Raw genomic sequence first — 18134 nt, 5'->3', positions numbered from 1 at the left:
GGACTACAGGCGCCCGCCACCACACCTGGCTAATTTTTTGTATTTTTAGTAGAGATAGGGTTTCATGGTGTTAGCCAGGATGGTCTCGATCTCCTGATCTTGTGATCCACCTGCCTCGGCCTCCCAAAGTGCTGGTATTACAGGCATGAGCACCGTGCCTGGCACTGAAGAGACAGGTCTTGTTCTGACAGACACAGGCGTGTGCCACCACCATGCCCCGCTAATTTTTTTTTTTTTTTTTTTGTAGAGATGAGGTCTCACTGTGTTGCCCAGGGTGGTCTTGAACTCCTGGGCTCAAATGATCCTTGCGCCTCGACCTCCCAAAGTGCCGGGATTATAGGCATGAGCCACTGCATCCAATGCATTTCCTTTTCTTATGTAACTTTTTGTTTTTGCTCCAGTTACTACTTGCCTTCTTTTAGTTTGCTGAGTTTTCTACATATACCTATCACTAGTTTATTCCTAAATACTTCAGTTGAATTTAAAAAACAAAACAAAACAAACCAACCAACCAGCCCTGCTCTCAGTAAAGCCAGGCCAATCCAGGAATCCCTGAGCTCTGCCATTTTCCCCGTGACGCTTCTCCTGGTGCCTTCTCCCTGTGCTGCAGTCAGGAATGCCTGCTTTCCAGGCTCCCGCTGCTCAGCTGTTGCCCTGGCTCTTTCATTCACCATAAGCCTGGAAACCGCTTCTCCTGTGCTGAGTCACCTGTTCCGTGGAGGCTGTTTCCTCCTTGTTCATGGTTTGCTCTCCCTGCCTGGTTGGAGCACGTCTTCCAGCAGCTTCCTGAGAAAGAGAGTGCATGGGAGGTCTATTTTGTGGAATCTGAAAATATCTTTAGTATATTGTTGTATTTGATTGGTATTCAAGGGAAATACAATCCTAAGTTGGAAATCCTTCTCCCTTTGAATTTTGAAGGCATGTCTTCACTGTCTTAGATTCTGATGTAATTTCTGGAAAGTCTGCTGTATTTGATCCCTAGTGCCTGTATGTGTGTGTGACCTGCTTGTGCTTTTTTTTTTTTTTTTTTTTTTTGCCTTTTTTTCCCCCCCTCTCCTCTTTGCATTTAGGATCTTGTCTTAATCCCCAGTGTCCTGAAATCTCACAGGAGGTGGGATAGTCATTGTGCTCGGCAACCTGGCGGGCCCTTCCAGTGTGGATGCTCCTGCCTTAAGGTTCTGGGAAGTCTTTCTGTATGTTTCTTTGATCATTTCTTCCCCTCCACTTTCTTCCAATCTCCCTTTCTGGAATTCCTGCTAGTAGGACCTCGCGCTTCTGGATTGAGCCTCAGATTTTCTTTATAATTTTCTGGCTCTTTTTTGGTACTGTTTTCCATGAACTTTGTTTTGTTTTGTTTTTTGTTTTTGATTGTTTGTTTTTTTAATCTTACCTTTGAGCTTTTCTGTTGAATGTTTTAGTTCCTTTATCATGTTTTAGAATGTCAGTAGCTCTCTCCATTCTTTTTCTTTATGATGCCTTGTTCTTGGTACGTGAGAGAGTATTGTTTTTTGGTCTCTGGGGATGGTCATTGCAGTTTTCTTCTGTTCCCTACATTGTCTCTATCTCTTGAATTCCTTTCTTCTGTTTGGTCGCTTTGGTCTTTGACCTTCTTGTTAGAAGCGCTCCTCAAATATCAGTATCCTTGGCTATTTTTTATATATAAGAAGGGCTTAAAATACCAGCAACTCAGGAGGCTGAGGCGGGAGGATGGCTTGAGCCCAGGAGTTTGAGGCTGCAGTGAGCTGTGATCGTGCCACTGCACTCCAGCCTGGGCAACTGAGCGAGACCTCGACCTCATCTCTACCCGCCCCAGAAAAAAAAAAAATTGCTGGACCTCCTGATTGGGTGATGGAACATGGGGTGTTTCCTTGGCTGTTTGTATGCAGCATGGGGGGCAGGTACCAAATGAAGCCTTTTTAAATTCTGGGACCTGTTTCTGTAGAGAATAATTTTTCATCTCCTGCCTCAAAACACTGCACAGGCTGAGTGACTGGTACAGCGTGGCAGAGATCTGAGAGGACCTCTCGCCCTTCGTATTCAGGCTTAGTCTTTGGATTTTCTCCAAGTTGTCCCATTACTGCCCTCAGCTGGACCGTGTTCTGAGGATAGAGCTGTCTCAGCCTCTGTTGAAACTTGTAATGCAGTGGCTCCACGTGGAGACTTTTAACCAGCTTCTGCGTCTGCACCCTCACCCACAGCCACCAGAGCTGCCTGGCATGTGCAGTGCTGATTTTTCCTAGGGCTCTGACTCCCACCCCCACCCCCAACCATCCGCCACTCGGTGACCATGGAGCGGTGGGCATGTGGCGTTCAGAGCTTTGTTGATGTCGCTTGGCTGTTGCCACTCCTCTTGTCCTTGAAGGTTTGCTCCCCACCCCACCCTCATTCCTTCTCATTTCAGTGGCGTTAGGAGGGCGAGGAGGGGGATAGTGGAGATAAGTGTGTGTTTAGCCTGTGAACCCTGTGACTAGTGCTTCCTGTTCTCAAAGAGAGGGCTGAGTCTTGGAAGAGGGCTTAGTGCCACGTACCATCTGCGAGGGCTGGAATTCATAGTGCTGGCATGTGTCACCAGAGGGTGTGGAGGGGCAGGCAGATGGGGGCAGGGTGGGAACCACCCCCCATATGCATTCAGTGTTTGATTGTGGGGTTGGGGGTGGGCCATAAAGACAACTCTGAGACAGTGCTGGGGAGTTCTGTGATCAGAGGCACAGGGCCTTGGGGTTCAGAGGCAGGAGGCGGTGTCCGTATGTCGCTTTATGCAGTTGCTGTTTGTTAGGAATGTTTGCGTGGCATTTCACAGTTTTCCCACGTGTTTTTCATCACTGTTAGCTCATTCTCACCTCCCAAGTACCTGGCAGAGTATATATATTATCCCCATTTACAAATGTGAAAAAAATTTGAATAGGCTCTGAAACTTGTCCAGAGTGACCCAGATCTTGTAATGGCCAAAGGCCAAACTTGCAGCTGGGTCTCTGAATCCTAGGGCTCTGTGCCAGCATGGTGAAAGAGAGGACAGGACAAGTTTCTCCCCTGGAAAAGTGTGAACTCCTGTTAGGGAAAGAGATTTGAATGCATGACAGCAACAGAGAATGATGCTTCATTCACTGTCCAACCGGGGTGAGCACAGCCGAGGGCCGCAGGTGCAGGGCCACACAAGAGCCAGAGGCCAGTTTGCTGCCAGAAGGACTCCCTGGCTGGCTGTGGCTCTTGCAGATAGAGCCAAGGATTATAAGACCTCGATAGTGGCCAGGCGCGGTGGCTCACGCCTATAATCCCACCACTTTGGGAGGCCAAGGTGGGCGGATTGTGAGGTCAAGAGATCGAGACCATCCTGGCCAACATGGCGAAACCCCATCTCTACTAAAAATACAAAAATTAGCTGGGCGTGGTCGTGCATGCCTGTAGTCCCAGCTACTCAGGAGGCTGAGGCAGGAGAATCGCTTGAACCCAGGAGACGGAGGTTGCAGTGAGCCGAGATCGCACCACTGCACTCCGGCCTGCGACAGCGAGAGACTCTGTCTCAAAAAAAAAAAAAAAAAAGAAGTTGATAGATCCAAGTGCAGAAAGACATTCAGAAGAAGCCAGTAGAAGAGAGGTCAGAAACAGCATTCAGGGCAGAAAGAAGCAGGAATAAGCATGATCAGCAGAGGATAAAAAAGCCGCGAGGGGGCTGGGCGCAGTGGCTCACACCTGTAATCCCAGCACTTTGGGAGGCCGAGGCAGGTGGATCACCTAAGGTCGGGAGTTCGAGACCAGCCTGGCCAACATGGAGAAACCCCATCTCTACTAAAAATACAAAATTAGCCAGGCGTGTGGCGCATGCCTGTACTTCCAGCCACTCGGGAGGCTGAGGCAGGAGAATTGCTTGAACCCAGGAGGCAGAGGTTGCAGTGAGATCGCGCCATTGCCATTGCTCTCCAGCCTGGGCAACAAGAGCGAAACTCCGTCTAAAAAAAAAAAAAAAAAGACAGTAGGGAGGAGAAGAGGAACCATTTGGCACAGCTTAGAGTCTGGGGTCACTTGTACCACGCAGACCCCTGCCCCCTTGGTTGCAACACACTGTGCCCATTCTTGTCCAGGATGATCACCCATCACTGAAAAGAGGCATAAGAACGTTCTGAGGCCCCTATTTTCTGAGCAGAGAAGATTTCTGCCCAAAGTGGGCAAAATTAACTTTTCCAGGCTCATCCACCCGTTATCTGAAATACAGAATGCCCCCAGTCTTTCCAAGTAACCAGAGTGTTTCTCTGCAGCAGAAGGCTGGGCCATGAGGCCAGCTTTAGGCGCTGAAGGTGTGCACAGGGGGTGAGCTTAGAATGGCCCAGTGTGCCCAGGGTCATCGGGGTCCCGCACGCAGTGTGTGGCACACAGTAGGCACACAGCGAGTGTGTATTGAAGTTATAGCAAGTTATATGAGTGTGTCTGCCTCCTGACCCTGGGAGCTGCACGCAGAAACGTGAGAGGGCAAGTACTGAGTCTTTTCTCAAAGCCCGGGGGCTCTTGGGGTAAGTGTCTTAGGTGCTCCATGCCTGAATTTCCTTATCTGTAAGCGGGGATAACTCCTTCCTTGTGGGGGAATGAGGGTGGCCGTTGCGGGGGGATGTGAACATGTAGAGCCTTACAACTGCTGGGTCCTGTAGCATTTATTAGGTCACGGGGCAGCTGAGAGGCTGGGTGGGGAGCAGTCTCTTGGCCTACAGCTTCCTACCCAGGCTCAAGGAGCTGCCAATAGGAAAGAAGGCCATTCAGAAGAAGCCAGTAGAGGAGAGGTCAGAAGCAGCATTTGGGAGGGCGACAAACAGGAATAACAGGATCCACAAGGGACAGGAAAGTCACGAGGGAGAAGCCTGGAGCCTCGGGTTTGGAAGGGACTGCTTTAGAAAGTCTGCTGAGGGGTTACCCAGCCTGATTGCTTCTGTTGGCAGCAAGCTCACGACTTCCACCTCTGGACTCTGCCCGTTAGAAATGGTTTCTTATAGGCCAGGCGCAGTGGCTCATGCCCTTAATCCCAGCACTTTGGGAGGCTGAGACCAGCGGATCACTTGAGCCCAGGAGTTCAAGACCAGCCTGGGCAACATGGTAAAACTCTGTCTTTACAAAAAAACAAAAAACACAAATTAGGCAGGCATGGTGGCCCACACCTGTAGTCCCAGCTACTCAGGAGGCTGAGGTGGGAAGATTGATTGAGCCTGGGAGGTCAAGGCTGCGGTGAGCCGTGATCGCATCTGTGTGCTCCAGCCTGGGCAACAGAGTGAGATCCTGCATCAAGAAAAAAAAAACAAAAAAAGGAAATGGTTTCGTATATTGAGTATATTGAGCTGCAGTCCTTCTGGGATCTGCCCCTGGGAGTCCCATCTGCCCCTGGGAAGAAGGTGGTTGTCACGTCTATTAAGAGAGTGACCCCTGATGTCTTCTCGTCCCCAGCACAGTCCTTGTTTTGTGTTCATCCTGGTCCTTCTCTCCTGATACTGTGCATTTGTCTCTAGTTTGAGATGTGGTGTCTAGAATGGAGCAGAAAGTTCCAGATGGGGCATGGGGGTGGGGAGCGGACAGCCTACTCTCATTCCAACGATGGAGGAGTTCCTCCCAGAGGCTGGCCCCAAGGCCATCAACTTTCCAGTCTCCAAAGACAAAACCCTCCAGAGAAGACACAGCCTGATTGTCCAGGCCAGGAGAGAGAGGCCCTCCGGTCCCTCACGCTGGTTGCTGCCCTCTGGACTTGGCCTGAGGGCTCCTTGGTCATTTATGAGAGGGCTTAGCACAGAGCCTGGCACACCAGCTGTGGTAGATATTTAGGGAGATGTAGAGTCATTGTGTGTCTCCGAGGCCTCTCCAGGGGTCTGGTACTGGAGCCGTGGTGGGAAGGGCGGTGGGCAGTGAGCTTCCCGGTCAAGCACCTCCCTCCAGCCCCGTCTCAGCTTCTCCGCTCTTCTTACATCCACGCACGCATCTTTTATTTGTTTCCAGGGGATGTGTTGAGTTTTCCATTTTAAACACCTTTGCTAAGATGTTGGAGGTGGTGTTTCACATGGCTCTGTACTTTCCAGGAGGGAGACTGATGTGTCCAGTTGGTCAGTGGGGCCAGGCTTGGGCCGGTTGCGTCACGTCTGAGGAGATTCTGTCTCATCTTCTCCAAGAATTAGGGAGTCCATTATCGACTCACTAATGATTGTTTAAAGGGAACTGTCAGCAAATTGGTACTTTACAGACTGGCTGGCCCCAGAGCACCTCCAAAAGGTCAAGAATCTTGAACTGAGAGGGATGATGACATTTGATGATTCTGATCAGTTGTGTGCAGAGCCGGTTACGGAGGGACCTCGGCCACGTAATTCAAAAGTGTGCTGACTGCTGACATGTGTTTTGATGCAGGAAAGGACACGAGCCCAGATGCCAAGCCTTTCTTGGGAGAGGACTGCAGGGATGGGCTCTCCCGGGAGGGAGCTTCCAGATAGAGAGGGCTTATGGGCCTGGGGCCCCTGTGGCTTCCCTGGAGGGTTTTGTTGTTCGAGACTGGAAAGCTGATAGTCTTGGGGCCAGCCTCTGAGAGGAGCTCCTCCAGTGTTGGAATGAGAGTGGGGTGTCCCCTCCTGCCCTGCCTGAGCCTGTTGTCATGGCAGGCTCCCCTGGGGAGATGGTCCATGTACGTCTGTCCATTCCTTCCTTCAGTGTTGATGACATGTTTGTAGCTGCCAGGCCCTCCGGTAGTCATTGGAGGTAGGACTGCATTCTACCTGCAAGGAGTTTACAGTCTGGAAAAAGCAGTAGGTAACACACCGTGGACTCTTGACTGTGCCCTCAGCTCATCTAAGGCTCTGCACGTTCACAGCCCCTGACCCCACCAAGGGAGGAGTTATCCCGCTTACAGATGAGGAGATTCGGGCATGGAGCGCTTAAGACACTTGCCTGAGGCCACACAGCTCCTAAGAGGTGGGACCACAGTTCACAACCAAGGCAGGCTGTCTCCAGGGCCCATGGCTCTTTACCTTACTTAATGTTGCTTTTGTGCCGGAGGGATCAGGCAGAGCCCAGAGAGGGGTGATGTGTGAAGTAAGCAGGGTGCAGGACAGAAGAGGCGGCATCTCAGTGGGGTCTGCCTCTGCGGTGAGCAGAGGGACCAGAATGTACCATTGCATGCAGGCGTGAGTGATCACAGCACGTCCCAGGAGCTTCAGTCATGGTTTTATCTGTATTCCACTTACCATGGCTGTGCAAATAACTACTGCCAAAACACACTAGTGTAAAACAACCATCCAGTTTCTTCATGGATATTATAGGTCAAGAATTTGGACTGGGTGCAGGGGAGATAGTTTGTCCCTGCTCCATGACCTCTGGGCCTTGGCAGGAGAGCGTGAAGGCTGGGGCAAATCACCTGAAGGCTCACTCCCTTGTGTGCCTGGCAGTTGATGCTGGCTGTCAGCTGAAGGCCTCGGTTCCCTCACATGAGCCTCTCTGTGCGGTGTCTCCAAAGGCTAGCTCGTGCTTCCCCGCTGCATGGTGACTGAGTGCAAGGACAGGCATTCAAGGGAAAAAGAGCCAGAGGAAAGAGGCCTCTTCCAACCCCTACATCAGATGTCACAAAACATCACTTTGGCTGTGGTTACTCAGGGCCACCAGATACAAAGGGAGGGAACAAGACCCCACCTCTCAGAGGAGGGGTGTCAGCATCACGAGGTGTGGCAGTCTAGAAAATGCAACCGTCGGCCGGGCGCGGTGGCTCACGCCTGTCATCTCAGCACTTTGGGAGGCCGAGGTGGGCGGATCACCTGAGGTCAGGAGTTCAAGACCACCCTGGCCAACATGGTAAAACCCTGTCTGTACTACAAATACAAAATTAGCTGGGTGTGGTGGTGTGCGCCTGTAATCCCAGTTACTCCAGAGGCTGAGACAGGAGAACCACTTGAACCCTAGAGGTGGAGGTTGCAGTGAGCCAAGATCGTGCCACTGCACTCCAGCCTAGGGGATAGAGCGAGACTCTGTCTCAAAAAAAGCAAAAACAAAAAACAAAAACAACAAAAAAAAATACAACCATCATGATATAGCTGGACCCGGCTTAGAATGGACACGGTCATTGTGCTTGGCCTTGTGAGGTTTTGAACAGAGGTTACTGGCAGGCTGACATCAGGTTTGGCTTAATGCCCACCCCTTTCCCTTTGCCCCATAGTTCTTGCTGGTGAAGAGTCATCTGGAGATTGGTGGAGACTTGTCTGTCCTGAGACATCCTGAGCTGCCTCCAGCACAGGCAGGCAGTACACACAGCCCTCAGCCCTGTCTAGGGGCTCCTGGCCCTGCAGGCAGCAGATAGACGGTAATGGTCGTGACAGCCAACACCCAGCGCAGTGAGCCCCGGACACACTTCTGAACACTTTCATGCTCACGCCTCACAGCCACCTGCCAAGTTGGTGCTCCTGTGATCCCCTTTGATAGATGAGGAAACTGAACCCAAAGAGGCTCACACACATCGCATACCTCTGCTGTATGTGTGTGAAGGGTGAAGGGACAGTCACAACAAGGCGTGGTCAGTGCTGGGGGACATATACATGGGGATGCCACCTGGAGATGGGAGCCCTTAATGGATTAGGGCAACCGTGAGTAGCATAAAATGCCGCAAATGTGTTCCTTTCCAAATCGCTGAAGGCCAGCTTTGCCTAAAAAACATCACCAGGGCTTTCCACGCTCCAGTTCAGTCAGTGAAACTGTTGTGGTGTGCCCCGTGTGTGCCATGAGTGGCACCTGTGTCCTGAGGAAGGCGAGAGGGGGAGACCAGTCATTGTGACACAGGGTGGGAAGTGTCTGCAAATCAGGTTCCGTGGGTAGGAGGGCACTCACCTCCACGATGGTCACCGGGGACTTGTCACACTGGGTGCCATCCCAGCTGGGGTTGATGGATCCTGAGAGTACAGCGGGAAGGGTGCTAGAACCTCTGGGATCTGGGAGTGCAGAAGCACCGAAGGATAAGAGAACCTGCTCTGGGGAGAAGTGCAGCATTAGTGCTGCTCGGGAGTGGCGGGAGCTTGGGCAGGGACCAGGTCACCCATTGAAAGATCAAGTGCCAAGCTGGGCGGCACCAGGGAGCCTAAAAGGACTCTGTACTGCAGGGGCTGGCGGGGTCAGATGAGAAGAAGCCCTCTGGCTGGAGGGCCACCGTGGCTCCCTCGACCTGTTCTGACCCTGTTCTGCCCCTCCCCTTGGCCTTGTGCCTTTACTGGATGCCCATCCTCATTCCCATGTCCTCACCCTGGCTCTTCCTCTTGCGTTCTTTCATTTTGGGTACCGTCTGCTGCACCCCTTCCCCCGCCTTCTCCACACTCTCCTCCATCCTGGCATGTCCATTTGCCTCTAGCACCCTGCAGGCAGCAGCCTTCATTTTGCTGACCCAGAAGGAACCACCTGACCAGGAGACCCGTTACAGCGTGTTGCTGTATTTATAGCATCAACATTTACAGCAGACTTGCTGTGCCATCACTCCCGGTGGCAAATTTTGGGTCTTTGTGGAGATGTTGAGCCGAGTCCCAATTTAGAATGAGCAGCCCAAGCTTCCCAAGGTTTTTACTGTGTTCTGTGTGCTGCCGTGTGCTTTGTTGTAGCTCATAGTGCTGTGCGTATTCCGGATACCGCTACAGGTTGTTGACTGGATGAAGGTTCTTCCCTCTCACTCCTGCTTGGAATTTCTCCCAAGATTTTCACAGAGACTGTTTTGTTGTTATCTTATAAAATTGTGACCTGTAACACACAAGTATGTAAGACAAATATTTATTTATAAATACATTAGAGATGAGGTCTCGCTATGTTGCCCAGGCTGGAGTGCAGTGGCTGTTCAGAGGTGCGATCCCACTCTGGAGTTTGACTTGCTCTGTTTCCAACCTGGGCTGGTTCACCCCTCCTTCGGCAACCTGGTGATCCCCCACTCCCAGGAGGTCACCGTACTGCTGCCAGACTTGGTGCAGACACCAGATCAGTGTAGCACACTACAGCCCAGAACTCCCAGACTCAAGACGTCCTCCTGCCGCAGCAGTAGCTGGGACCACAGGCGCATGCCACTGCGCCCGGAAAAACTAATAAAGGCAATACTGTTTCGCCCCAGGGTCGACACTGCCAGCCCTCCCAAACCTCCTGAGTACCCACCCTTACCTCAGCCTCCTCTGGCCTCCCCACATAACCCTGAACTCACGACAGTCCCTTCATAGTATTACGCCAGTGCAGGGGTGCATCCCGGGATAAGATAATTTAGGTGTGCCGGGTTTTGAACTTAGGAGTGGGAGGTCAGATGTCTGTGTTCTTGACGGGCTCCTTTTGCACAACCTTATGTCCCCCAGCCTCCTCCCTGTTGCCACACACAGCTGTGGCTCTTTCACCTCCATTGCTGTTTAGAATCCCAGCATCTGCGGACCCATTCTGCTGATTTGACTGGTTTCTCCTGGACACTCTCTTCGCAGCCTTGGTCATCTATAATTTCCTGAGCCTGTGCTATGAGTACCTAGGAGGAGAAAGTTCCATCATGTCGGAGATCAGAGGAAAACCCATTGAGTGAGTATGGAGTCTTCCCAGAGCCCTAAACCACCCCGTTTCCTGGGCCTGGTGTACCTCGAGCCGTCCTGGCACCAGCTGGACACAGACCATGTCTGCCCGTGACCTTGACCTGCTGTGCCTCACCACATTTCCTGAGCAACGCCATTCTTCTGGGCGTTTTAGGAGGGCCTCTGCGGCTCAGTCTTTCTCTCTCTGTCTCTTCCTGTCTCAGTCTTAGTGCTTTCCTGTCTGTTTCTGCCTCCTGCAGTTTTTACATTCAGAGCTCTCCAAGTTGGTTTGTCACCCCAGGGCCAGTGCAGCCCTGTGTCCCTCCGCCTATGGCATGTGCGGATGCCCTGCCATGCCTCTCCCTGTGCTTGGCCTCGGGTTCAAAGTCTGCCCAGAATGTGTGCCCCAGCTCGTCTGGATGGGTGGGAGGGCGGCCTTCCCCACCCCACTGTTCCCAAGTCCTGGCTCTTCACTCACTGCCACTGCCTGCTATGCTTGTCTCTTCCAGGTCCAGCTGTATGTATGGCACCTGCTGCCTCTGGGGAAAGACTTATTCCATCGGATTTCTGAGGTTCTGCAAACAGGTGTGTGCCCCCAGCAGCTGCCTAGCTCAGGAGGAGCAGGGCGGGGTCTGGGAGGCCCTGCCGTGGGCTGCCCTGGGCCCCACCTTAGAGGTCCCCTTTCCTATGAGGCACCCCAGGCCCCCAGCACCCACCCCCCGAAGCTGTTAGGCAGATACCACATTAGCAGGGTGTGCTTGGAGGGGCAGCGACCGACATCCTGGGAGTGTCTGTTGCACTGTGGGCAAGAGCTGATCCCAGACTCTTGCTCGTGTGACCAAGTCTCAGTGTGTGTGAAAATCAGAAGAAGTGCGTGGGGATTCTAGAACCTCCATTTGAAAACTTCTCATCAGCTGCAGCTAGGGGGCAGGAGGGTTTTGGCATTAAAGACACACGCCAGAACAGGCCTCTGCCGTCTCTTCGTCTCTCCCTGCATTTCCTGGTTGGCAATCCAGCCGCTCTAGCTTCCTGGGCTGACTTCCCTGTGGTCTAGAGTAGCCTTGGCAGTCCAGCCGCTCTAGCTTCCTGGGCTGGCCTCCCTGTGGTCTAGAGTAGCCTTGGCAATCCAGCCGCTCTAGCTTCCTGGGCTGACCTCCCTGTGGTCTAGAGTAGCCTTGGCAATCCAGCCGCTCTAGCTTCCTGGGCTGGCCTCCCTGTGGTCTAGAGTAGCCTTGGCAATCCAGCCGCTCTAGCTTCCTGGGCTGACCTCCCTGTGGTCTAGAGTAGCCTTGGCAATCCAGCCGCTCTAGCTTCCTGGGCTGGCCTCCCTGTGGTCTAGAGTAGCCTTGGCAATCCAGCCGCTCTAGCTTCCTGGGCTGACCTCCCTGTGGTCTAGAGTAGCCTTGGCAATCCAGCCGCTCTAGCTTCCTGGGCTGACCTCCCTGTGGTCTAGAGTAGCCTTGGCAATCCAGCCGCTCTAGCTTCCTGGGCTGACCTCCCTGTGGTCTAGAGTAGCCTTGGCAATCCAGCCGCTCTAGCTTCCTGGGCTGGCCTCCCTGTGGTCTAGAGTAGCCTTGGCAATCCAGCCACTCTAGCTTCCTGGGCTGACCTCCCTGTGGTCTAGAGTAGCCTTGGCAATCCAGCTGCTCTAGCTTCCTGGGCTGACCTCCCTGTGGTCTAGAGTAGCCTGGGTGGGGGCAGTGTGGTGGGGTCGCTCAGTGTGTGGGCCTGGGTGTCTGACCATCTGAGCCTGATTTCCAGCTTTTCCTCTGACTCTGTGACCTTGGATAATTGGCTTACCCTCTCTGAGCTTTAGTTTCCTCCACTGTAAAATGAGTGTAATGATACTCCTCTCTAGAGATGGTTGTGAGGATCAGATGAGGTCATGGATGTAGAGCTTTCAGCCCGGCGTGGTGGAGCCCACGGCCTCCTGTTCAGGGAGGCAGAGTCTGAGGGGATCACGCCCACTCTTCATGACCTTGCGTTAGTCTCCTCTGGGGCTCCGTAGGGGCTCTGTCATGTCAGCCCCTCCAGCTTCGCCAAGAGTAGTCACGAAAGTACATGAAACCCACAGCCAAGTCACGATGGCCCTGGAGGGCGGGGCCTGCTGCTCCCTTCTGTGCAGGGCCCAGGCCACAGGGCGGGCACACCCACAAAGCCTCCACCTGAACATGCCAAGTCTCCAGTTCTGCTTCCAGACCTTCCTTCCCTAGCATGTTCCTAAATTCAGAATCTCACCACTGGACCTGCAGGGAAAGAGTTAAAACTATCCTGGGTTCAGGGTGGGGCATTGAGAGCCATTGTTTACCAGTTGGTGCAGCCACCCAGGTTCCGGCCAGCTGTGACTCACTGCCTTGTTTGATGATTATATTGTCTACAAAATTTTGATTTCATGATTGTTAGCTAGTGTGGCCTTGTTAGAAATTATTCCCCAGCCCTGTGGGCTCAGATGTTCTGTTCTTGTTCCTGGCGGTGGCAGGGAGAGATATAAGAAGAAAGAGAACAAAAGAGGCCTCTTCCTTTCTTTACCAGGGCGAGAGAGCACACCCCACAGCTTTGTCCTAGAGGCACAGAGACAGGCCTTTGACTCCTCAGGGCCAGTGCTCAATATCCAGACCTTCTGGAGAGATTCCCTACTTAAAGTAGAGATTCCCAGATCAACCACCCACTACCCTAGCCCATAGGAGAAGTTCTGGAATGGAGCCCTGGAACCTGGCACATGTCTAAAGCTCCCTGGGGGTTCTGATGTCCAGCCCAGCCTGGGAACTGCTGACTGGTCCAGGGTATGGTCAGGTGATGATTCTGGGGCCTGCTGGCCTGGGCTCTGCTGCTGCTGCTGCTGCTGCTTCAGCTTCTCTCTGCCTCAGTTTCCTCACCTGTACCATGGGGATAATGACAGCACCCACGTCAGGGGGCTGTCATGAGTACCAGGTGAGCTGACCCAGGGAAACACCAGCCTGTTGCTAGGCTCATAACTGGAACTCATGCAAACTGCCGTTCTTCCCTTTTCCCCAGAAGGTGCCAGTCCCACTTCTCTAGGCGGGATGACAGGGCCAGGGACGTTCTGTGGGGCTTTCTGAGAGTGGGACTGCACGTCTGCCCCATCACGCGGGCCTCTCCGTATGGCAGCCCCATGGTGTGGGCTGCCTGGGGCTCCCCTGCAAGACCCACTCAGATCCCCAGTTGGGGCAGAAGCTGCAGGTTTCACGGATCACGGTTCCCACTCCAGGCTCCTCGTCCTCTTTGCAGCTACACTAGTTGAGCCTTTTGGATTGGATTTAACCTCCCCCAGCTCCTCAGAAGGGGTCTTAGGGCTTAGATTTATTTGCTTTCTAGATAATGGTGATACTAGTGATGTTATGGGCACCATGGGTCCGCCCGTAGGGAATCGGGAAAACCTGGCTGAGGAACTCTTTCCGTGGCTCAGCCAGCTAGCAGGCGCCGTTAGTGCATGTACAGAGGCGGGAGACTCCCGAGAAGATGCTGCGCTTCCTGGCTGTGCCATCCCCGCAGCAGTGGCCCTGTGGTGTGGGGAGTGACTACATCCTTTTCATCAGGGAGTCTGTGCTCAGAGGCCAAGTGTCTGCCCAAGCTGTCCCCAGAGTTCAAACTCAGATTTTGAGACTCTGGAGTCCACGTGCTCTGGGCTCCTGCAGGTCACCTCCATCCCCAGAGTGACCTCTGCTGACCAGAAACCCTGGACCCAGGCCCAGAGAGTAGGGCTAGGAACCAGATCGGGGGTGGACATGGAGGATGGGAGGAGGCCCTCACCTGCGCCGGCTTCCCGGTGGCTGGTTCCTTGAGCAGGGCCCTAGCCTTGCCCCGGGCACCAAGGTCTCCAGGACCTGGCCCTGCCCATCTCCTCAGCCACCTCTCTAGTGCGCAGCCCCTTGCACCTGTCCACCCTCTGCCTCGGGGCCTTGGTGCAAGCTGCCCCCTCTGCCTGTCGAGCCTCTCATCTCCGGCACCCACCTGATGGTCCTGGCTCGAGAAGCTTCCTTGTGTGCATCTCCTGTCTCCCGCCTCCATCGTGCCCTGCCACACCATTCCTCCCTTCCTCCCTCCCTTCCTCCACATGCTCATATCACATACGGCATTGCGCTGGCTGCATCTCCTATATGTTCTGCCCCCCGCCCCGCGCAGACAGCAGTCCCCTGGGAGCAGGACACGTAGCCACCCCCCATCTCCTCCATCTCCTCTATCCTTCCATCCCCTCCATCCCTTCGTCCCTCCATCCCCTCCGTCCCTCCATCCCTCCGTCCTCTCCGTCTCCTTCATCCTCTCTGTCCCTCCATCCGGTACAGTTCCGTCTGCCAGAGGCAGGGCTTGCTTCATGCCTTCTGTGCTCCTCCTCCACACTCAACCTCCTTTTCCCCCCAACAGGCCACCCTGCAGTTCTGTGTGGTGAAGCCACTCATGGCGGTCAGCACTGTGGTCCTCCAGGCCTTCGGCAAGTACCGGGATGGGGACTTTGAGTAAGCAGCGGGTGCTCCCCGGGGTGTGTGGGAGGAGTGTTGGCGCAGGCTGGTGCCTTGGCTCAGGGAAGGGGGCAGCCAGAGTGGCCGCACAGCCATGACCTTCCTGGGTGTCTGGTGCTCACAACCCCCCTGAAGTCTGAGCCCAGCAGTGGACACCCTTGCAGTTGGCCCCGCTGCCAGCCCCGGAGTGAGCCATTGGCAGCAGTCACGTTCATGTCCAGGCTGCAGAGTGGTACCATGAAGGGATGGGCCACAAAGGGACAGTGACCACTGCTGAGGCAGGGAGCGAGAGGGTCAGAGCCCCAAGAGGTCGGCTCAAGTCCACAGATACAAAGCCCGTGCTGTGTAAATTGTCCACACCCATTTCATTCTGGGCTTAGTGAAAGTGACCCCGTGGCTGGGCACAGTGGTTCACGCCTGTAATCCTAGCACTTTGGGAGGCCAACGCGGGTAGATCACCTGAGGTCAGGAGTTCAAGACCAGCCTGGCCAACATGGTGAAACCCCATCACTACTAAAAATACAAAAAATTAACCGGGCGTGGTGACGGGTGCCTATAATCCCAGCTACTCGGGAGGCTGAGGCAGGAGAATCGCTTGAACCCAGGAGGCAGAGGTTGCGGTGAGCCAAGATCACGCCATTGCACTCTAGCCTGGGTGACAAGAACAAAACTCCATATCTAAAAAAAAAAAAAAAAAAAGTGACCATGTGTCTAGCCCTGTGCTTTCAAGCTCTCGGCACACACTGTCTGTGAACTGTGTAACAGCCCTGCCAGGGCAGGTGGGCAAAAGGAGGTCAGGGGGATGCAGCCGACCGAGTGAAAAGGCAGCAGAGCTGAGCAGCGTCACCTATTTTGACGCCTGTTATCTGAGTGTCAGGCTATGGCCTCGGGCCCGGCCCTGGCTTCCACACTGGTGTCCAACGTTAGGAGTGTGGGCACCAGGGCTTAGACAAGTCCACGAGCCACGCAGAGGCAGTAGAGCTGGTCTGGCCTGCAGGCGCACCCCATGTACCCCCACCCCTGTCTGTCGCTTTGATCACCCATTCTGACCCCTTCAGTGGCTCGTTGAGCTCTGCTGGAGGTGTGGGGCTGAGAGCCATGGGGACTGTGTGTGGTGCAGTCGAGGAGAGCCCCTTCCCTCCAAGGGTCTGTCCCAGCCAGAAAATGCTCCCCGTCCCGCAGCGTCACCAGTGGCTACCTCTACGTGACCATCATCTACAACATCTCCGTCAGCCTGGCCCTCTACGCCCTCTTCCTCTTCTACTTCGCCACCCGGGAGCTGCTCAGCCCCTACAGCCCCGTCCTCAAGTTCTTCATGGTCAAGTCCGTCATCTTTCTTTCCTTCTGGCAAGGTGAGCCCCCTCCCAGCACCTGGAGGCTGCCCATGCCACCCTGTCCTCTGCGCTTCCTGCTGCCCCTTCTGCTTATGGTCCCTGGTGCCTGTAGGGCCTGTTCAGAGGGGCCTCAGCCCACTGGGCACTTGCTGGGGGTGAAATCTGAGCCCTCGAGGGCCTTTCCCAGGGGCTAGGGAGAGCTTTGGTGGGGCCGCTACATGGATGAGAGGGCCCAGGAGACCCTGCGTAATTGCTGGCATCTCAGTTTCGGTGGCAAAGAGCTGGGAGAGTGGGGTTTCCGGAGGCTGTGGCCTTGTGTCGCTACCCCTGCCCTGCAGGAGCAGCTGTGGCCCTGCTCACATCCTCACTGGGGCATGTGGGCAGCTGAATGGGGCATTGTGGAAGAAGGGGGAGCAGGAAAGGAATCATTCTGGGTCCAGACACCCGTGCCTCCCCATCCAGGCATGCTCCTGGCCATCCTGGAGAAGTGTGGGGCCATCCCCAAAATCCACTCGGCCCGCGTGTCGGTGGGCGAGGGCACCGTGGCTGCCGGCTACCAGGACTTCATCATCTGTGTGGAGATGTTCTTTGCAGCCCTGGCCCTGCGGCACGCCTTCACCTACAAGGTCTATGCTGACAAGAGGCTGGACGCACAAGGTATGAGCCAGGGTCCTAGGCGACCCCCGCTGGGAGAAGCAGGGAGCCCCAAACATCCCAGGACCCTCCCACCTCCCAGCATCCTACAGGTGCGGCTGGGTCAGGACATGGGATCCCCACTCTATATGCAGGAATGGGGCCACAGAGGTCGGGGAAGAGCAGGTGCCACCAGCACGACCGATTCGGTCCTGGAAGCTCAGGCCACCTGTCCCTTGCAGCAGGTCCAAGTGTGGCGGTCCAGGGCTGATACAGACAGAGACTGTAATGAATAGACAAATTCCCTCGGGCTTCTAACTCCCAACACTGTGGTTACCATTTTGTCCTGTAATTCCCTCATCTCATATGCTATTTTTTAAAAAAAGGATACTTCTGGCCGGGCACGGTGGCTCACGCCTATAATCCCAGCACTTTGGGAGGCCGAGGCGGGTGGATCACAAGGTCAGGAGATCGAGACCATCCTGGCTAACACGGTGAAACCCTGTCTCTACTAAAAATACAAAAAATTAGCCGGGCGTGGTGGCGGGTGCTTGTAGTCCGAGCTACTCGGGAGGCTGAGGCAGGAGAATGGTGTGAATCCAGGAGGCGGAGCTTGCAGTGAGCGAGATTGTGCCATTGCACTCCAGCCTGGGTGACAGAGCAAGACTCCGTCTCAAAAAAAAGAAAGAAAGAAAAAAAAGAATACTTCTGAGAAACAGACTCGGATGGTAATAGGTTTTAACAGCTTTCTTTTACACCTGCGAATCTTCCTCCTTGCTAGAACAGTGGTAAGTAGCCCCAGTTGTACTGGAAAATGCCCTGGAGAGCTTTTGGAAGTGCTGATACCCAGCCCCACCCTCGGAGATCCCGCTGTAATGGGTCCGGGCTGGCAGGCTGGGTGTGCTGTGAGAGTTCTGTGCTTTAAGCACTCCCAGGGTGATGTGAAAGTGCTGCTGCCCGGGACGCTCCACTGGGCTGGAAGGGCTGCCTCTGGCCACTGGGCAGAAGGGGGTTGTCCTTGGAGGATGGGGAAGAGGAGGCTGGGAATGCCTGAGACTGATTGAGCCAGTAAAGGGGCAGGAGGGACTGGGGAGAGGGGAGCCTCCTTCTCTGACACATCCACCCAGGAGCCTGGCTGCTGCCAGCTGTCTGCCCGAGTGGCTGGAGGCAAGAAA

The 18134-nt window shown here is 54.3% G+C and overlaps 1 protein-coding gene, 1 long non-coding RNA gene, 1 other non-coding gene and 1 pseudogene across 20 annotated transcripts in view, besides 2 other annotated features; 2 read left to right on the top strand and 2 right to left on the bottom strand.

Moving 5' to 3' along the window:
• TMEM184B (transmembrane protein 184B) overlaps positions 1 to 18134 on the top strand; it is a 56616-nt gene that overhangs the window by 31243 nt on the left and 7239 nt on the right. For all 18 annotated transcript variants that reach the window (XM_047441319.1, XM_047441316.1, XM_017028759.2 and 15 more), the window contains 5 exons: positions 10434 to 10524; positions 11024 to 11099; positions 14898 to 14989; positions 16175 to 16344; positions 16789 to 16983. In XM_047441319.1, coding sequence (XP_047297275.1) covers positions 10434 to 10524; positions 11024 to 11099; positions 14898 to 14989; positions 16175 to 16344; positions 16789 to 16983 — 624 coding nt within the window. The remainder of the gene's footprint in view (positions 1 to 10433; positions 10525 to 11023; positions 11100 to 14897; positions 14990 to 16174; positions 16345 to 16788; positions 16984 to 18134) is intronic.
• TMEM184B-AS1 (TMEM184B antisense RNA 1) lies at positions 9520 to 10448 on the bottom strand. Its single transcript, NR_186700.1, has 2 exons — positions 10353 to 10448; positions 9520 to 9720 (listed from the first exon to the last, which is right to left on the bottom strand). It is a non-coding gene; the product is annotated as a TMEM184B antisense RNA 1 (long non-coding RNA).
• On the bottom strand, positions 9768 to 10047 carry RN7SL704P (RNA, 7SL, cytoplasmic 704, pseudogene; annotated as a pseudogene).
• Positions 12054 to 12784: an enhancer, noted in NCBI's record as "H3K27ac-H3K4me1 hESC enhancer chr22:38624990-38625720 (GRCh37/hg19 assembly coordinates)". NCBI's record gives its function as "activates a minimal SCP1, AML or CMV promoter by ChIP-STARR-seq in primed H9 embryonic stem cells {active_cell/tissue: H9 hESC(primed)}" and the evidence as "EXISTENCE:reporter gene assay evidence [ECO:0000049][PMID:30033119]".
• Positions 16609 to 17109: an enhancer, noted in NCBI's record as "H3K4me1 hESC enhancer chr22:38620666-38621166 (GRCh37/hg19 assembly coordinates)". NCBI's record gives its function as "activates a minimal SCP1, AML or CMV promoter by ChIP-STARR-seq in naive H9 embryonic stem cells {active_cell/tissue: H9 hESC(naive)}" and the evidence as "EXISTENCE:reporter gene assay evidence [ECO:0000049][PMID:30033119]".
• Positions 17048 to 17289, top strand: SNORA92 (small nucleolar RNA, H/ACA box 92). Its single transcript, NR_132774.1, has one exon. It is a non-coding gene; the product is annotated as a small nucleolar RNA, H/ACA box 92 (small nucleolar RNA).

This window comes from Homo sapiens, chromosome 22 (genome assembly GCF_000001405.40).
Source record: "Homo sapiens chromosome 22, GRCh38.p14 Primary Assembly".
Lineage (NCBI taxonomy): Eukaryota > Metazoa > Chordata > Mammalia > Primates > Hominidae > Homo > Homo sapiens.
The sequence above is the reverse complement of the archived record's forward strand: the minus strand, read 5'-3'. Positions and strand labels throughout refer to the sequence as shown.